Source organism: Homo sapiens, chromosome 16 (assembly GCF_000001405.40).
Source record: "Homo sapiens chromosome 16, GRCh38.p14 Primary Assembly".
Lineage (NCBI taxonomy): Eukaryota > Metazoa > Chordata > Mammalia > Primates > Hominidae > Homo > Homo sapiens.
This window is the reverse complement of record NC_000016.10, coordinates 24,624,788-24,643,389: the sequence shown is the minus strand read 5'-3', so window position 1 is coordinate 24,643,389 and position 18,602 is coordinate 24,624,788. Positions and strand designations below refer to the sequence as shown.

Sequence of the window (18,602 nt, the reverse complement as noted above, 5' to 3'; positions counted from 1 at the left end):
TAAGAAAACCATTCTCTGAGTTTTGGAATGAATACCTGGGTTAATTAAAGAAAAAGCACCCTCTGGAAACCTCAGTGTCACGGCACTCCTGGGGATTCCTGATGACAAAAGGAAAGAAGCAATAGGCATGATTTCTTCCTTCCTTCCTTCTGCATGGGGCAGGAATGATGGGCCCTGCCTGTTTCCTGTCTCAGCATCCTACTTCCTCTATAGCCCAGGCCATGGGGTTCCCATGAATGGGATGGATTTTTTATATATATATATTTTATATATATATATTTTATATATATATATAAAATATATATATATAATATATATATAATATATATGTTATATATATATTAAAGATACAGGGTCTCACTCTGTTGCCTAGGCTGGAGTGCAGTGGAGCAATCATAGCTCATTGCAGCCTTGAACTCCTGGGCTCCAGCCATCCTTCCACCTCAATCTCCCAAGTAGCTGGGATTACAGACACACACAACCATGCCCAGCTAAGTTTAAAAATTTTTTGTAGAGACAGGGTCTCACTACATTGCCTAGGCTGGTCTTGAACACCTGGCCTCAAGCCAGTGAGATGGAGTCTCACTGTGTCGCCCGGCTGTAGTGCAGTGGCACTATCTCAGCTCACCGCAACCTCCACCTTCCGGGTTCAAGAGATTCTCCTGCCTCAGCCTCCCAGGTAGCTGGAATTACAGGCACGTGCCACCATGCCTGGCTAATTTTTTTGTATTTTTAGTAGAGACTGGGTTTCGCCATGTTGGCGAGGCTGGTCTGGAACTCCTGGGCTCAAGTGATCCTCCCACCTCGGCCTCCCAAAGTGCTGGGATTACAGGTGTGAGCCACTGCGCTCGGCCTGATTCTGTTCTTAAGCTATTCCTTATCCTCTACTTCTGAGGTCATTTTCCTTTTCCCCTCCTGTGCCTTTGTCCCTATTTGATGCCTTGCATGGGATATAACCTACTCCTCCCAGAGGCTGGAAATGTCCCTTGAACCTCAGCTTAGTGACCACAGCCCTGCTTTCCGCCCACTGACCACTACTCAATCCCTGCCTGACAACTCGACAGGCGTCAGATGCTCTCAGATTTTCCATGGCTTTCTCCCCACACCACCACTTTGGATAACCTTCGGACAACATTGCTCAGTTTCTTGGAGTCTGATGACCTGCTTAACTGTTCCAGATCTGAGCCTCCTCACACCGCCTTTGCTGAGAGCCCCTCCCTATGGAGCCTCTTTTGTTGCCGTTTACCCCCAGGAATCTGGTCCTGTCAGGAGACACACGATCATAGCCACTGATTCAGGTAGATCCTCTGAAATGATCAGTCTGCTATCTCAGCTCTCCCTGCCTGGAAAAATCCTTCCCCATGGGATCCAGTCAAACCCAACCTATCAATATACATCTTTCCAGCTTTTACTTTGATTAATACCGTGTCAATTGAGAATTTTCTCCTTAGCTTTTTCTCCCATTGTTTTTCCCAAAGACTAGCTTCTCTGGCCACCTGCCACTGATTGAGTTTTAGGAGTTCAATGGCATTTGTTTGTTTAATTCACTTGATGTATTCCAAATGCCCAGACCAATGCATGGTACATGGTAGATGCTCAATAAAAAATCATCGAATGAATGAAAAAGAAACCATAACCCAGAATATTCAGAGGGGTTAATACACATTACCAATGACTAGTACTCATGTTTACAAATAATTCATAGGGTATATCTTACTTGTAGTACCAAAGGTAGATTTTGTTTTATCAATACTGGGCTTAAGAACATCCTTCAGTAGAAATAGCAAGTAGACATATATAAAAGCAGAAACTCTTTTCCTTCCCACTTTGATGCAGATTTCATTTCTACTCTAGCTTTTCCACCATCACTGCTGACCAACTTTACCAACCACTAACCCAGGTGATGCCATACGGATCCAGCAGACCCCTCCTACCAGCTCTTCCTCTTCATTTTCCTCCTGGATCTCTCCAAAGGCCTCCTAACTGGTCTCCCCGTGTCCCTTCTTCTCCATCCTCCCACACATCCTCTGCAAGTGGCCATTGATTTTCCTAACACTGTGAATCATATCAGAAAGAGCATGGGTCGCAGAATGGCTGGAAGAGGACTCACCACCAAGCTGTTTAGAGATGGACATGATAGGGCCAGAGCTCAATCCACCTTCAGAAGGTGACGTGGGGTGATGGTACATTGGCCTCTGTCCCAGGATCGTGAGGTCTGAGTTTCAAACCTTGCCCCCTTTCTCTTGCCCAGTTCTGATTTCAACCCCGTTCAACTTGTCAGAATTTTGAGTGGATGTTTCCTCTGGTTTCCTTAGTTGGAACCTCAGGCAGCTCTGGGCTGAATGGACTGACCCATGGCCCCCAGTGTGAGTGATACTACCTGTTCCATTCCTCGGGCAGCGGAATGTCTTGAGAGCCAGGACACCTGGCGTCTAGGCCTGGCTCTGCCACTAGTTGCATGACTTTAGGCAAATCACATCACCTCTCCGGGCCTCAGTTTTCACACCTGAGAAAGGAAGAGGTTGCATTAGATTAGTGATTCTCCACTTTTTACTTCATTCCCCTCCCAGACACAACCAGTGATGCCTATTTGCCTATGAGACACAAACCCATGTGCAACTCCTGGGCACAAACTTTAATTTCATCCCTTTCTTTTTTTTCTTTCTTTTTTTTTTTTTTGTCGCCCAGGCCAGAGTGCAGTGGCTTGATCTTGGTTCACTGCAACTTCCGCCTCCCGGGCTCAGGCGATCCTCCTGCCACAGCCTCCCAAGTAGCTGGGACCAAAGGCGTGCACCACCATGCCCAGATAATTTTTTGTATTTTTGGTAGAGATGGGGCTTTGCCATGTTGCCCAGGCTGGTCTCGAACTCCTGAGCTCAAGCAATCCACCCGCCTCAGCTTCCCAAAGTGCTGGGATTACAGGTGTGAGCCACTGTGACCAGCCTCATGCCCTTCTTTTTCTTCCTTTTTTTTTTTTCTTTCTTTTTTTTTGGACAGGATTTTACTTTGTCACCCAGGTTGGAGTGCAGCTGTGCAATCACAGCCCACTGCAGCCTTGGCCTCCCAGGCTCAAGTGATCCTCCTGTCTCAGCCTCCTGAGTAGCTAGGACTAGAAGTGCACACCACCATGCCCAGCTAATTTTTGTATTTTTTGCAGAGGCAGAGTCTCCCTATGTTGCTCAGGCTGGTCTTGAAGTCCTGAGCTCTAGGGATCCACCTGCCTTGGCCTCCCAAAGTGCTGGGATTATAGGCGTGAGCCACTATGCCTGGCTGGCTGGTCTATTATCTTGTACTTTTATTCAAGACTCCCCCACCCAACTATCATTCTTGCTCTCATCTATGTCTGCAACTTCTCTCTTCTCAGTTAGACCATAAATTACATGAGATTGCACCTATCATTTCTCTATTATCACTGTCAAAAAAACAGTGACTGGGCCAAGTGCCATGGCTTATGCATGTGATCCCAGAGCTTTGGGAAGCCGAAGTGGGAGGACTGTTTGAGCTCAGGAGTTTGAGACCAGTCTGGGCAACATAGTGAAGCCTCATTTCTACAAAAAACAGACAAACAAACAAAAATTAACCAAATGTGGTGGTGCATGTCTGTAAGTCCCAGCTACTCAGGAGGCTAAGGCAGGAGGATCACTTGAGTGAGTCCAAGGAGATGGAGGCTACAGTGAGCTATGATCACACCATGTACTCAAGCCTGGGCGATAGAGCGAGACCCTGTCTCAGAAAGAAAACAAAAAAAGCGGCTGGTACAACAGGTATTTAGTAAGTAGTTGGTGAATAAGTGAATGATGAAAAGATTGAAAGCAGAAATCAGTGAATGAATCTATTTCTGTCTACTGATTTTCTCCTTTAGCACATACTCATATCTTAGTCTTTCTCATGTTTTTTGAGAGAGGGTCTTGCTCTGTTGCCCAGGTTGGAGTGCAGTGGTGTGATCATAGCTCACTGCAGCCTCCAACTCCTGGGTTCAAGAGATCCTCCTACGTCAGCTTCCTAAGTGGCTGGGATTACAGGTGTGTGCCACTATGCCTGGCTAATTTTCTTTTTTTAAATTTTTTATAGAGACAAGTTTTTTGATATGTCATCCAGGCTGGCCTCGAACTCCTGGCTTCACATAATTCTCCTGCCTCGGCCTCCTAAAGTTTTGGAATCACAGGCATGAGCTACCACACGCAGCCGTCTTTCTCATCTTCTATGACAAACATTCACACAAACACTTAAACAATTATCAACCCTATGTACGTCCTCTCTTAACTTTAAGAGTCAAAGTACTTGAAATATTTGTGAGGATTGACTGTTTCCAGTTCCTCATATCCTATTTCTCCAAAATCTCTGCACTCTGGGATCAGTTGCCTCCACCCCAGTGAAGGTATTTGCACCAACATCATCAAGATCTTACATGTTGCCCAATCCAATGGCAACAGATTTCTATCCTTGTTTTACTTGACCTCCTAAGTCCTAACAGTATTTTGATGTCTGCTGAGTTTATTATTCTTATATAACCAGAGGGGAGACAGAAATGATTTTTTAAAACAGGAAAATGACAGTAGAAATAGTTATTGCTTTAGTTTTCCCAAGGCAGTCAGTTTAAGGGAGACTAAATACAACACCATTTAGAGATTACAGGGATTCATCTGAGGTTTTGTTTTTTGTTTTTTGTTTTTTTTTTTGAGACAACCTTGCTCTGTTGCCCAGGCTGGAGTGCAATGGTGCGGTCTCAGCTCACTGCAACCTCCGCCTCCTGGGTTCAAGTGATTCTCCTGCCTCAGCCTCCCGAGTAGCTGGGACTACCGGCACATGCCACCACACCCAGCTACTTTTTGTATTTTTAGTAAAGACAGGGTTTCACCATGTTGGCCAGGCTGGTCTTGAACTCCTGGCCTCAAGCGATCCGCCTGCCTCGGCCTCCCAAAGTCCTGGGATTACAGTCATGAGCCACCGTGCCCATCCTGTTTCTGTTTTTTGAGACAGGGTCTTGCTTTGTCACCCAGGTTGGAGTGCAGTGGTGTGATCTCAGCTCACTTCAAAAGAACCTCCCAGGTTCAAGCAATCCTCCCACCTCAGCCTCATGAGTGGCTGAGACTACAGGCATGTGCCATCACGCTGGGCTAATTTTTGTATTTTTGGTAGAGATGGGGTCTCACTATGTCACCCAGGCTGGTCTTGGACTCCTAGGCTTAAGTGATCCTCCTGCCTCGGCCTCCCAAAATGCTGGGATTATAGTGGCGAGCCACTGCGCCTGGCCGCTATACTGATTTTTGCTGCCTGTTTTTGTACTTTGTATAAATGGCATCACAGTCAGGCATGGTGGCTCACGCCTGTAATGCCAGCACTTTGGGAGACTGAGGCGGGTGGATCACTTGAGGTCAGGAGTTTGAGACCAGCCTGGCCAACATGGTAAAGCCCTGTCTCTACTAAAAATACAAAAGTTAGCTGGGTGTGGTGGCGCGAGCTGGTAGTCCCAGATACTTGAGAGGCTGAGACAGGAGAATCGCTTGAACCAGGAGGTGGAGGGTGCAGTGAGCCAAGATCAGGCCACTGCACTCCAGCCTGGGCAACAGAGCCAGACTCCATCTCAAAAATAAATAAATAATAAATAAATTAAAAAATGGCATCATATGGAATGTACTCTACGTGCCTTGCTTCTTTCATTGGATGTGATATTTGTGAGATTCCTTGGTATTGTGTTGTGTGGTTGTGGCGCCCTCATTCTCACTGCTGCCTGAGTCCTCTTTTAAGAAAGCTCTGCACCTCCCCACATGGGACCTTCCTTCCCACAGTAACTGTGGTTCCCTCACTTCCAATAACATTTCCCTTCCTCCTTCCTTACTTTCCCTCCATAGGTCTGATCACCATCTAATATATTGTACATTTAATCTATTTATTGTATTATTTTCCCCTTGCCTAGAACTATGGAGTCATAGTCAGATCAATGCTCGTACTCTTTGAACAAGTAAACCTCAGTGACCTCCGCATGGCATCCAGCATGCCCATGGGTGGAGGGAACGCCAGGCTGCCCAGACCACAGATGGGTCAAGAACTGCAACAGGCTGGGCACGATGGCTCACGCTTGTAATCCCAGCACTTTGGGAGACTGGGATGGGCAGATCGCTTGAGGCCAGGAGTTCGAGACCAGCCTGAGCAACATGGTGAAACCCCATCTCTACAAAAAATTTTAAAACTAGCCAGGTATGGTGGTATGCACCTGAAGTCCCAGCTACTAGGGAGGCTGAGACGGGAGGATCACCTGAGCCTGGGAGGTTGAGGTTGCAGTCAGCCATCATCCCACCACTACACTCTAGCCTGGGCCAGGGAGTGAGACCCTGTCTCAAAAACAAAAAGAAAAACAAACAAAAAAAACCCCTGCAACAAAGTGTCATTTAGCAGGAGAGGCCAATCTGATGGGGCCCCAGGTATGGCTCTCTTACTGTAATATCTATACCACAGCCATGAATATAGATGTGAAAATTCTACATAAAATGCTTACAAATAACTTTTTCAAGCTTATGACAATTAAAAGTTAAAAAGGTTCAGAAATATCTATTAATAGGGAATATCTGAACTTTCTGGATTTACATGCTTTTGCATCTTGAATTTTTAATAATAAGCATCCATTGATTTAGTAATTAAAAATTAAGGAACAAAATGCCATAACTGAGTCAAATTTATCTTACTACTGTCAAAACAGTTCAATATTTATGAATTGATATAAAAATAAAACAAAGAGCCAGGCTTAGTGGCTCTACCTGTAATCTCAGCTGAGGTGAGAAGATCACTTGAGGCCAGGAATTCAAGACCACCCTGGACAACATAGTGAGACCCTGTCAAAAAAAAGTTAAAAAATAAACCAGGCGCAGTGGCATGTGCCTGTAGTCCTAAATACTCGAGAGCATAAGATGGGAGGATCTCTTGAGCCCAGGAGTTTGAGGCTGCAGGGAGCTGTGATCATCCCACTGCAATCCAGCCTGAGTAACAGAGCAAGATCCTGTCTCAAAAAAAAAAAAAAAATCACAAAGTCCTACAATATTTTATAAAATCACAAATCTAACATTACAATAATAGAAGAGTGTCTGGCTTATCATAGGCACTTAGGTAATTCTTGAATGAATGAATGAAAATATATTAATATGTTAAATCATTCCAATAGGTCAAGTATAAAAAACAACCCACAATGTTACTAATAAATGCTGAAAAGGCATTAAGAAAGAATCCAGCACACATTCCTGATGAAAATCCTTGGCAGGCAGTAAAGAAGACGGTTTCCGTCACATGCCTCCCTGCAAACCACTGCAATCTGGCTTTTGCTGGCACCCTGCCATTGGAACTGCTTTCCCCAAGGCGATCAGTGCCCTGCATATTGCCAAATCCAATGCACTTGGATGGGTACCAATAAATATGTAATGAATTAAGGAATGGATGATAAAAGAATCTCAGATCAACGGCATCATCCTTAACAATAAAACACCAGCATTGTCTCTTTAAAGTCAGAAATAAAATGCAGGATGTGAGCTACTGCTATCATTTGATGATGTTTCTGGAAGCTCAGGCAAAAATAAAACAAAAAACCATGGAGACCAAAATATAAGGTACAGCTACTGGCAACAAGGTGACAAAATCATCTTTCTTTGTGTAAAACCTCAGAGAATTATGCAAAAACTCTCAGAAATAATAAGAGAGTTCTGGGAGTTTACAGATACACAAATGGTAATTGTTTTCCCTGAATACCAACAAATGTGATGTCTATGATGGGTGCTGAGACAATTGAGAAAGTAAAATTTTTTAAAAAGGTGCAGAATCTGGCCAGGTGTGGTGGCTCGTGCCTGCAATCCCAGCACTTTGGGAGGCCAAGGCAGGCGAATTACTTGAGGTCAGGAGTTTGAGACCAGCCTGGCCAACATGGTGAAACCCTGTCTGTACTAAAAATACAAAAATTAGCTGGGCGTGGTGGTGGGCTCCTGTAATCTCAGCTACTCAGGAGGCTGAGGCGGAAGAATGGCTTGAACCTGGGAGGCAGAGGTTGCAGTGAGCCAAGATCGAGCCACTGCACTCAAGCCTGGGTGACAGGTCTCCAAAAATAAACAAATAAATATATAAGTAAATAAATAAATAAACGTGCAGAATCTTATGAATAAGAAGTAAAACAATCCAGATGAAGGGTATAGAGTTCCAGCATTACAAAGAAAGAAAGAAGGAAGGAAGGAAAGAAGGAAGGAAGGAAGGAAGGAAAGAAGGAAAGAAAAGAAAAAGAAAGAAAAAGAAAGAAAAGAAATAAAGAAAGAAAGAAAGAAAGAAAAGAAAGAAAGAAAAAGAAAGAAAGGTGACTCACTTCTGTAATCCCAGTGCTCTGGGAGGCTGAGGCAGGAGTTCAAGACCAGCCTGGGCAACATAGCAAGACCCTGTCTCAACAACAACAAAACAAATGAAGAAAGAAAAAAGTGTATGGAGAATAAGATTTTTTTTCCAACTTGCTAAATGTGAAATGTAAATGATTCTTACATTGTGAAATTTACATTAAATTCTAGGGCAAGACACAGGCTTGATATCTTCCATGGACAGGCCAGGTGCCACTGAACCATGAGAAAGGGCTAAGATTGGTAAGGTGGGGGCTGATGCTGCCCCACCCTGGAGAGCACATTCTGGATCCCTTGTTGTAATCTGGAATCCCCGAATGAAGTTCCTGGACTTGTAACCTCAGCTGACCTGGGATAACAATTCTGTTTTCTTAGTAGGGAAGCGATGTGACAAACACAGAAAAGTGTAAAAACAAATATAGAGACGATGGCCGAATAAGTCATACCTGTGGTATATTAATACTCTTGTATTAGGTTCAGCAATTCGTTTTTATAGTCCTAGTGATAATGTGTAGATTTTGCATGTTACAATATTTAAGGTGTGTGAAACACTTAAGAGAATCTGGTATATTCAATGTGCATTTATTTATTTATTTATCTGAGACAGGGTCTCTCTCTGTCGCCCAGGCTGGAGTGTAGTGGCATGATCTCGGCTCACTGCAACCTCTGCCTCCTGGGCTTAAAGGATCCACCTGCCTCAGCCTCCCAAGTAGCTGGGACTACGGGCATGCACCACCATGCCTGGCTATCTGTTTTGTATTTTTTTGTAGAGATGGGGTTTTGCCATGTAGTTTAGGCTGGCCTTCAACTCCTGAGCTCAAGCAAACCTCCCAAAGTGCTGGGATTACAGGCCTGAACCACTGCGCCCAGCCCAATTTTGAAATTTATTGATCAAATGATCACACTATTTAGGCACTGGGCATATACAGTGATAAAAAAGATAAATTTGGTCTGGCCCAGTGGCTCACGCCTGTCATGCTAGCACTTTGGGGGGCTGAAGCGGGAGGATCACTTGAGGCCAGGAGTTCAAGAGACCAGCCTGGTCAACATGGCAAAACCATGTCTCTAATAAAGATACAAAAATTAGCCAGGTGTGGTGGTGCATGACTGTAATCCCAGCTACTCAGGAGGCTGACATGAGAATCCCTGGAACCGGGAGGCAGAGGTTGCAGGGAGCTGAGACCATGCCACTGCACTCCAGGCTGGGCATCAAAGCGAGACTTCGTCTCGAAAAAAAAAAAAAGAGAGATAAATTCTATACCTTAATGGAGCTTAAATTCTATTGGGAGGAATGTGTGTGTGTGGAGGCACAGAAAACAAACAAGGAAAGAAATAAAAGCCGGGCACAGTGGCTCACGCCTGTAATCCCAGCACTTTGGGAAGCCGAGGTGGGTGGGTCACGAGGTCAGGAGTTCGAGGTCTGCCTGGCCAATATGGTGAAACCCCAACTCTACTAACAATACAAAAATTAGCTGGGTGTGGTGGCACACGCCTGTAATCCCAGCTACTTGGGAGGCAGAGGCAGGAGCATCGCTTGAACCCGGGAGGTGGAGATTGCAGTGAGCCGAGATTGCACCACTGCACTCCAGCCTGGGCAACAGAGTGAGACTCTGTCTCAAGAAAAAAAGAAAAAGAAAAAAAAATAAATACACCATGAGTATAATTTTTGAAAGTAAGTGATGCTGTAAGGAAATAAGCCTGGTTAAGGTGATAGATTGCACTTTAGATCAAAGCACTGTACTTTAAATTGAAGGCCTCTCTGAAGAGATAATACTCTGAGCTGAGATCTTAAACCTACAAAGGAGTAAACCATGAATAAGTCAAGCAGCTGCATATATGGTAAATAGAGCATATAAAGGCTCTGAGGCCAGAGCAAGCTTGGTAGGTTCAAGTACCTGCAAAGCAGCCACTGTGGCTGCAACAGAGCAAGTGAGAGGAAGTTCTAGAATAAAGCAAGTGCCTGGTGATGTAGGGCCTTGCAGACTATGTTGAGAAGTCTGGATTTTTTTTTTTTTTTTTCGAGACTGAGTTTTGCTCTTGTCACCCAGGCTGGAGTGCAATGGCGCAATCTCGACTCACTGCAACCTCCGCCTCCCAGATTCAAGTGAGTCTCCTGCCTCAGCCTCCTAAGTAGCTGGGATTACATGCATGCACCACCGCACCCAGCTAATTTTTGTATTTTTAGTAGAGACAGGGTTTCACCATGTTGGCCAAGCTGGTCTTGAACTCCTGACCTCAGGTGATCTGCCCGCCTCGGCCTCCCAAAGTGCTGGGATTACCAGCGAAAGCCACTGTGTCTGGCCCCAGATTTTATTTTTAATGTGAAGACAACTCATTGGTAGATTTTGAGTAGGGGTATCGTGGGATCAGATTTATGATTTTAGAAGACTCTGGGGGTGGCTGTAAGATGAAAAGTCTGTAGTGAGGAAGGTATGAATGAATGAAAGCTGAGGGGCCAGTTGGGAGTCTTACCCAGTCCAGGTGAAAACGATATTGGCCTGGAAGAGGATGGTGAAAGTGTAAACAGAGAGAAATGAATAGCCAGGCAATATGTTTGGAAGGCAGGGCCAGAGGAACTTGACTATGGATTGTGTGTGGGGTGTGGCGACAATAAGGAATCAAAGACTTCTAGAGTTTGGGATTAAAGAACTAGGTGGACGGTGGTGGAATTTCTTCAGTTGGGAAAGATATTGGAGGTTGGGAGACAGGTTTGTTTTGAGGGGAAATCAAGAATTCTGGTTTGGACCTGTAAATTTTGAGATGTCTGTTCAATAAACCACAGGGGGATGATCAGCAGGTAGCTGGTTATGGGAGACGAGAAGTGTGTTGTCAGCTTGTAGATGATATTTACAGATATGAGACTTTCAAACAAGGAAAGAGCCTGGGCGTGGTGGCTCACACCTGTAATCCCAGCACTTTGGGAGGCAGAGGCAGGAGAATCATTTAAGCCCAGGAGTTCGAGACCAGCCTGGGCAATATAGCAGGACCCTGTCTATTAAAAAAAGTAGCTGGGTGTGGTGGTGCACACCTGTGGTTCCAGCTACTCAGGAGGCTGAGATAGGAGGATCCCTTGAGCCCAGGAGGCTGTGGCTGCAGTGATCTATGATCTAGTCACTGCACTACAGCCTGGGCAACAGAGTGAGACCCTGTTCCAAAAAAAAAACTCAAACAAACAAGAAAAGAACTTAAGTGGAGTCCAAGTCTGAAGACTGAACCCTAGGATGTTCTGTTTTTCTTTTTTTGTTGTTTTTTTTTTTTGAGGTGGAATCTTGCTCTGTCACCCAAGCTGGAGTGCAGTGGCACAATCTTGGCTCACTGCAACCTCCACCTCCTGGGTTCAAGTGATTCTTATGCCTCAGCCTCCCAAGCAGCTAGGACTACAGGCGTGCGCCACCACGCCAGGCTAATTTTTGCATTTTTAGTGGAGATGCAGTTTTGCCGTGTTGGCCAGGCTGGTCTCGAACTCTTAACCTCAAGTGATCCACCCACCTCAGCTTCCCAAAGTGCTGGGATTACAGGTGTGAGTCACCACACCCAGCCCCTAGGATGTTCTAATATTTACAATAAGTGGGAAGAGAATTAGGAACAAACAAAAGGACTGAGAAAGAATAGGGGCAAACCAAGAGTGGGGTGTCCTGGAACTCGAGAGAAGAAAGTAATATGTTGTGTCGAATGTTGCTGAGGGGTTGAGAAAGATGACATCTGAGACTTGGCCACTGGATAGGCAAACTGAAGAGAATCTGTGGCCTTCACCATACAGGTTTCTCAAGCAGTTGTAGGGCATGGGCCAAAAGTACAAGTGGAGATCTACACACCATATGTTTAAATACTAAATGCTATCAGCCAAGCAAGCTGCTAAATAAAATAGATGTTATCCTCCTACCTTGACAAATGCATATTCACCATATGTGTTTGGAAGGCAAGTTTCAAATTTAGAATTCTCTGATTCCAAGAGTTCTTCTCCAGAATGAATTGGCGCAGGGAGGGCTGGTCCCTTTTTTTTTTTTCTTTCTTCCCTTCATCTGTATGTACAAGCATGGACCCTCCAGGCTGAATGTCTAAGCTCCACCAACACACTCCTTCCCACCTCCACCCCAGCAAACAGCCATCTCTTAGGTATAGAGAGGCACATACCACATCCCTTGGATCTGGGCAGCAGCCTCTCCCAGGCACTGGGAACTGGCTTGGGGCCATTTAGACAGGGAATCCCAGGGTTTTAGGTACTCTGAGTAGAGTCCGTGAAGGGACAACTTCTGACTAGCCATGTTTGTTTGGCCCTGTGAATCCCTTGCCTAAAGGGGAGAGCATAGCTGTAGGATGACCAGTGTGGGGCTCCCTACAGCATGAGGCCTTAGGGCTGTATTCGAGTGGGTTAAAGAGAGAATAGGAGAATAGGACGTGAGGTGGGAGGGAAGCAAAGGTAGACAGCTCTTTGAAAATATTTTTCCTATAAAGAGGTAGTAGCTAGAGGGAGAAGGAGAGCCAGAGAAAGCTTTGTTTTATGTTTTTTGTTGTTGTTGTTTGTTTTTGTAGAAACAAGTTCTCACTACGTTGCCCAGGCTGGTCTCTAACTCCTGGCTTCAAATGATCCTCCTGCCTCTGCCTCCCAAAGTGCTGGGATTACACATGTTAGCCACTGTGCCTGGTCCTTGCTTTGTGTTTTTAAAGATAGCACTTCCAGATGCTGATGGAAATGATCCAGTAGAGGGAAATGTTGATGATGAGAAGTGAATGGGGGTGGTGTTAGGAGCAGAGTCCCTGAGCAGGTGAGAGATAGGATCACATCCAAGGCTTGAATGCAGGAATTGGCCTAAGGAGGTCTATGGAGAATTCCTCTACTATAAAAGGAGAGAAAGCAGATTAGATTGGCCCAGGTATAATTAGGTTGGTAGATCTGGTAGTGGGAAGAAAAAATATAACATTCTTTTCTAATTGCTTCTAATATTCACAATTAAATAGTAAGTGAGAATTAGGGAGGAATAAGTTATGAAAAGTTATGTAGGACACTTAAAAATGGTTAAGATGGCAAATATTATGTTATGTGCATTTTTTTTTTTGAGACAGGGTCTCACTCTGTCACCCAGGCTGGAGTGCAGTGGTGTGATCATAGCTCACTGCAGCCTTGATCTCCCTGGGCTCAGGTGATCCTCCTGGCTCTGCCTCCTGAGTAGCTGGGAATAACAGGCACGCACCAGCACACCTAGCTTACTTTTTGTACTTTTTTATAGAGTCAGGATTTTGCAGCCTGGTCTCAAACTCCTGGACTCAAACAATTCACCTGCCTCGGCCTCCCAAAGCAGTGAGATTACAGGCGTGAACCACTGTGCCCGGTCTATGTGTATTTTACTACAATTAAAATAAATTTTTAAAAAAGGCTAATAAATGACTATCTTTCTCCTCCCCCCAAAATAATAGTTACCTGGGAAAACAGAAAAGTGAATATATTAGGGGGCAGTACTGGGCGGTCAACTGGAGATTTATGGACACAAATTTAAAGCAAAACCAACAAGCACAACTATTGCTCTAAGCGGAATGGTGAGTTAACAGTTTGATTGATATAAGATTTGTAACTTTAATTAAAAATATTTAAGAGAATTTGATTTATTTAGGCTGAAACTGAATGTTTAAAAATTTCTGGATTAATAAATAATTTCAGACTTCCTAGGTTTGTAAATAGTGTTTAAGCACTTAGCGATTCTGTTTGTTGGATTTATAAGTCAGCCTTGTCAGATGTTTGAAGCACTTAGGAGATTCAAATTTGTAATTGTGGTTAAAAATGACAAAGCTGAAGGAAAATTTATTAAGCAGGCTTTTAAGTGATGTTAAATATTTAGGGGAATTTATTATGTCACATTTACAATTTAGCAATGATACAAGAACAAATAAAAAATATACATAACTTTAGATAAGATATACTAGATTTATAAGTATAATAATATGATTCATGAGTTACGTTAAAGGCCTCGGGAAAACTAGGTTTTTAGATTTACAACTTTAATAAATTGCATGTTAGTTAAAATACAAGTAACTGTAAATATACTTGTCTATGCACTAAAGCTCAAATTCAGGTGCTAAAGTTATAGCTGTTCCCTGTGAAATGCCATTATATGCCAGTCTCACCATTTTATTTTTTGAGCCTGGGTGTCTGTCTCCCATGATAACTCCAAATCCGATGAAAATGACAGAAAAAAAAAATACAGTGGACCTTTGAACAATGTGGGAGTTAGGGGCACCGACATTGAAAATCTGCATGTAACTTTTGACTCCCCAAAAACTGAACTACTAATAGACTACTATTGACTGCAAGCCTTATGGATAGCATAAACAGTCGGTTAACACGTATTTTGTATATTATATGTATTATATACTGTCTTCAATATTAAGAAAATCACAAGGAAATAAAAATAGATTTACTATTCATTAAGTAGAAGTGGTTCATCATAAAGGTCTTCATCTTCGTCATCTTCAGTTTGAGTAGGTTAATGGGGAGGAGGAAGAAGAGGGGTTACTCTTGCTGTCTCAGATGTGGCAGAGGTGGAGAAGGTAGAAAGGGAGACAGAAGAGGCAGGCACACTTGGTATAACTTTTTTTTTTCTTTTTTCTTTTTTTTGAGATGGAGTCTCACTCCTTCACCCAGGCTGGAGTGCAATGGAGCGATCTCAGCTCACTGCAACCTCCGCCTCCTAGGTTCAAGCGATTCTTCTGCCTCAGTCCCCCAAGTAGCTGGGATTACAGGCGCCCACCACCACACCCAGCTAATTTTTTGTATTTTTAGTAGAGACGGGGTTTCACCATGTTGGTCAGGCTAGTCTCCAACTCCTGACCTCAGGTGATCCACCCGCCTTGGCCTCCCAAAGTGCTGGGATTACAGGCATGAGCCTGGCCCTTAGTGTGACTTTTATTGAAAACAATCCATGTATAAGTAAACTGTGCAGTTCAAACCCATGTTGTTTAAGCATCAACTATATTTTATATTTATACATACATACAAATTTTACATATAAATCCAAAATTGCTAGAAAACAAGAAAGATGGCCAAGTGCCGTGGCTCATGCCTGTAATCCCAGCACTTTGGGAGGCCGAGGCGGGCAGATCACGAGGTCAGGAGTTCGAGACCAGCCTGGCCAACACGATGAAACCCCATCTCTACTAAAAATGCAAATAATTAGCCGGGCATGGGGGCAGGCGCCTGTAATCCCAGCTACTCAGGAGGCTGAGGCAGGAGAATCACTTGAACCCAGGAGGCAGAGGTTGCAGTGAGCCAAGATCACGCCACTGCCCTCCAGCCTGGGCAACAGAGCGAGACTGTCAAAAAAAAAAAAAAAAAAAAAAGCAAGAAAAGAAAACATGAAAGAGACCTGTTAGCAGATCAGAAGTTGTGAGGAAATCCTATAAGAACACATCAGGGGTCAAATCAATGGCAGAACCAGGGTAGAGAAATTCAATGCTAAACACTCCTGAGGGAAGGCAGTTCTTCCCAAGGAAGCCTGCGGGAAATCCAAGATCAGAGTAAACAAATATTAAGAGCGAGAGAGGTCTCCCGGGGCAGTCATTAAGATAATTAATTAATTTTACAGGGCCCCAGCTGGGTCAGAAGCCGCCCTTCTGCCTGGTAGCTCCAGGATGATCAAGCTCTGAGGATGAAGACCCCAGAGCTACTTTTTGAACACGGGAATAAATAATTTGCTTGGGGAAGGCACTGAACTTGAAAGCTGACCCGGATTGTGAAGCACAGCCTTTCTTAATAGGGCCTCCGAAACAATCGAGGCTGATGTAGGGGAGGAGAAGGAGAGGCTGTCACCAGTGACTGCTCCAGGTCACAGCCACATGTGTAGCCCTCCAAGCTAGGACACTTCGGGTTAGCCACAGAAGCTGCGGCAGGTGAGCAGTACCCCAGATAATATTTAGCTACCAAGAAGGATACAGGGTCCCATCTCTAGAATATAAACTACCTGGTTGGGCCATACATTTACTCCTGAACTTTATGGAATTCTCATCTGGACTGATGCTTTAGCTTCTGACACCACTGCAAATCCTAGAGAAAGGAATTTGTAGATTAAAAAAAAAAAAAAAAAACAGGCTGGGCGCGGTGGCTCACGCCTGTAATCCCAGCACTTTGGGAGGCCAAGGCGGGTGGATCACGAGGTCAGGAGATCGAGACCTTCCTGGCTAACATGGTGAAACCCCCCTCTCTACTAAAAAGTACAAAAAAATTAGCCGGGCGTGGTGGTGGGTGCCTGTAATCCCAGCTACTCAGGAGGCTGAGGCAAGAGAATGGCGTGAACCCGGGAGGCGGAGCTTGCAGTGAGCGGAGATAGTGCCACTGCATTCCAGCCTGGGCGACACAGTGAGACTCCGTCTCAAAAAAAAAAAAAAAAAAGAAATAGTATCTAAAAAAACTTGGTAAAACATATGCTTTACATAAATGTGAATGTGTATATGTAAAAAAATTTTTTAAATCTGGAGCTACGATTTCATCAGATTTCAGTGTTGTTCAAGCAGGAAAAGGCTTGAAAGTATGCTATGGCTTGAATTGCTCCAAGGAAGGCTACAGAGGCAGAATAAGTCTAGATTCTCATAGAAAGATATCTGTTATGAAATTTCAGATACATTGCAATGAGTCATGCGGGCAGCTTCTGGGGTGCTGGCAATATTTCATTTCTCAATGTAAAAATGTTTAGCTTTGTTTGCTTTATGTTCTTTTTTTCCTGTGTGTGTTATATTTCTGTACATATAAAACATTTTAAAAACAAATAAAAACCAAGAGTGACCACTAGATTTGCGATTCTGAAACCTGGTGGCACATTGGAGCAATCTGAAGAGGGTTTAAAAAATATTGGTGTCCCCTGGGGAGGACAAGATGGGAGAGGGAGGAATTGGGGCAAGAGAAAAAAAAACTGAATGTGTGCTATGCTCACTACCAGGGCATTCTTACTCCAAACCTCAGCATCATGCAATATACCTTTGTAACAAACCTGCACATGTAACCCCTGAATCTATAATAAAAGTTGAAAAGAAACTATTGGTGTCCAGAGTACAGTGCAGACCATATAAATTAGAATCTCTTAGATGGGGTCAGAGATATGTATCTGAGAGCCACTGTACTGGAAGAATAAAAATAAACAAACTTAACACTCTAGCTCAGGCTAGAGTGTAATGGTGCGATCTCGGCTCACTGCAACTTCCGCCTCCTAGGTTCAAGCAATTCTCCTGCCTCAGCCTCCTGAGTAGCTGGGATTACAAGCGCCCGCCACCACCCCGAGCTAATTTTTTTTTTTTTTTTTTTTTTTTTGTTTTGAGACGGAGTCTCGCTCTGTCGCCCAGGCCGGACTGCGGACTGCAGTGGCGCAATCTCGGCTCACTGCAAGCTCCGCCTCCCGGGTTCACGCCATTCTCCTGCCTCAGCCTCCCGAGTAGCTGGGACTACAGGCGCCCGCCACCGCGCCCGGCTAATTTTTTGTATTTTTTAGTAGAGACGGGGTTTCACCTTGTTAGCCAGGATGGTCTCGATCTCCTGACCTCATGATCCACCCGCCTCGGCCTCCCAAAGTGCTGGGATCGAGCTAATTTTTATACTTTTAGTAGAGACGGGGTTTCACCATGTTGGTCAGGCTGGTCTCGAACTCCTGACCTTGTGATCCGCCCGCCTTGGCCTCCCAAAGTGCTGGGATTACAGGCGTGAGCTGCCGCACCCGGCCTGGCATGGGGTTTTAAAATATGCTCAATAATTGATTTCTTTCTCCATGGAATGAAGAAAATCAACTGTTAGGGAAGAGTCAATGCCTGCCAACAAAGCCTCGTGCATCACAGTTCAATTTCCTGATACTTTATCCTTAGCTCTGAATCTTCTATTATGTTGGGCCTAAAATGAGGGGTTCAAGTTTTTCAAGCTACTGGCCATAATGTGTTGACACACTACTTGAAATCATAGAGATAACATTTCTCCACCAAACAGATAATGACAAGGATGACAGGGAGCAGGTCTATGATTTCTGGTCTTTTATGGCCTTATTAGTATTATATAAAGAAATCTCATCACCTCCTTCAATTATTCACATGAGCACCTTCCCCTGGGAGAGCTAGTATGCTCTGGGGTGGAAAAACAGTTTTAGCACACATCAACCATTTCTTCCCAAAACACTCAGAAAAGACCTCTGTTCGGTGACTGATGTTTGATTGTGATAACAATTTGTATTACTTCGTCAGCACTTAAGGTCAGGATGTATGCTGTTGAACAACTGT

At 44.2% G+C, this 18,602-nt stretch overlaps 1 protein-coding gene across 14 annotated transcripts in view; it reads right to left on the bottom strand.

The window, feature by feature from the left end:
• TNRC6A (trinucleotide repeat containing adaptor 6A) overlaps positions 1-18,602 on the bottom strand; it is a 216,014-nt gene that overhangs the window by 182,829 nt on the left and 14,583 nt on the right. For all 14 annotated transcript variants that reach the window (XM_024450231.2, XM_017023145.3, NM_001351850.2 and 11 more), the window contains exon 2: positions 2,381-2,506. In XM_024450231.2, coding sequence (XP_024305999.1) covers positions 2,381-2,460 — 80 coding nt within the window. In that variant the 5' untranslated portion in view covers positions 2,461-2,506. The remainder of the gene's footprint in view (positions 1-2,380; positions 2,507-18,602) is intronic.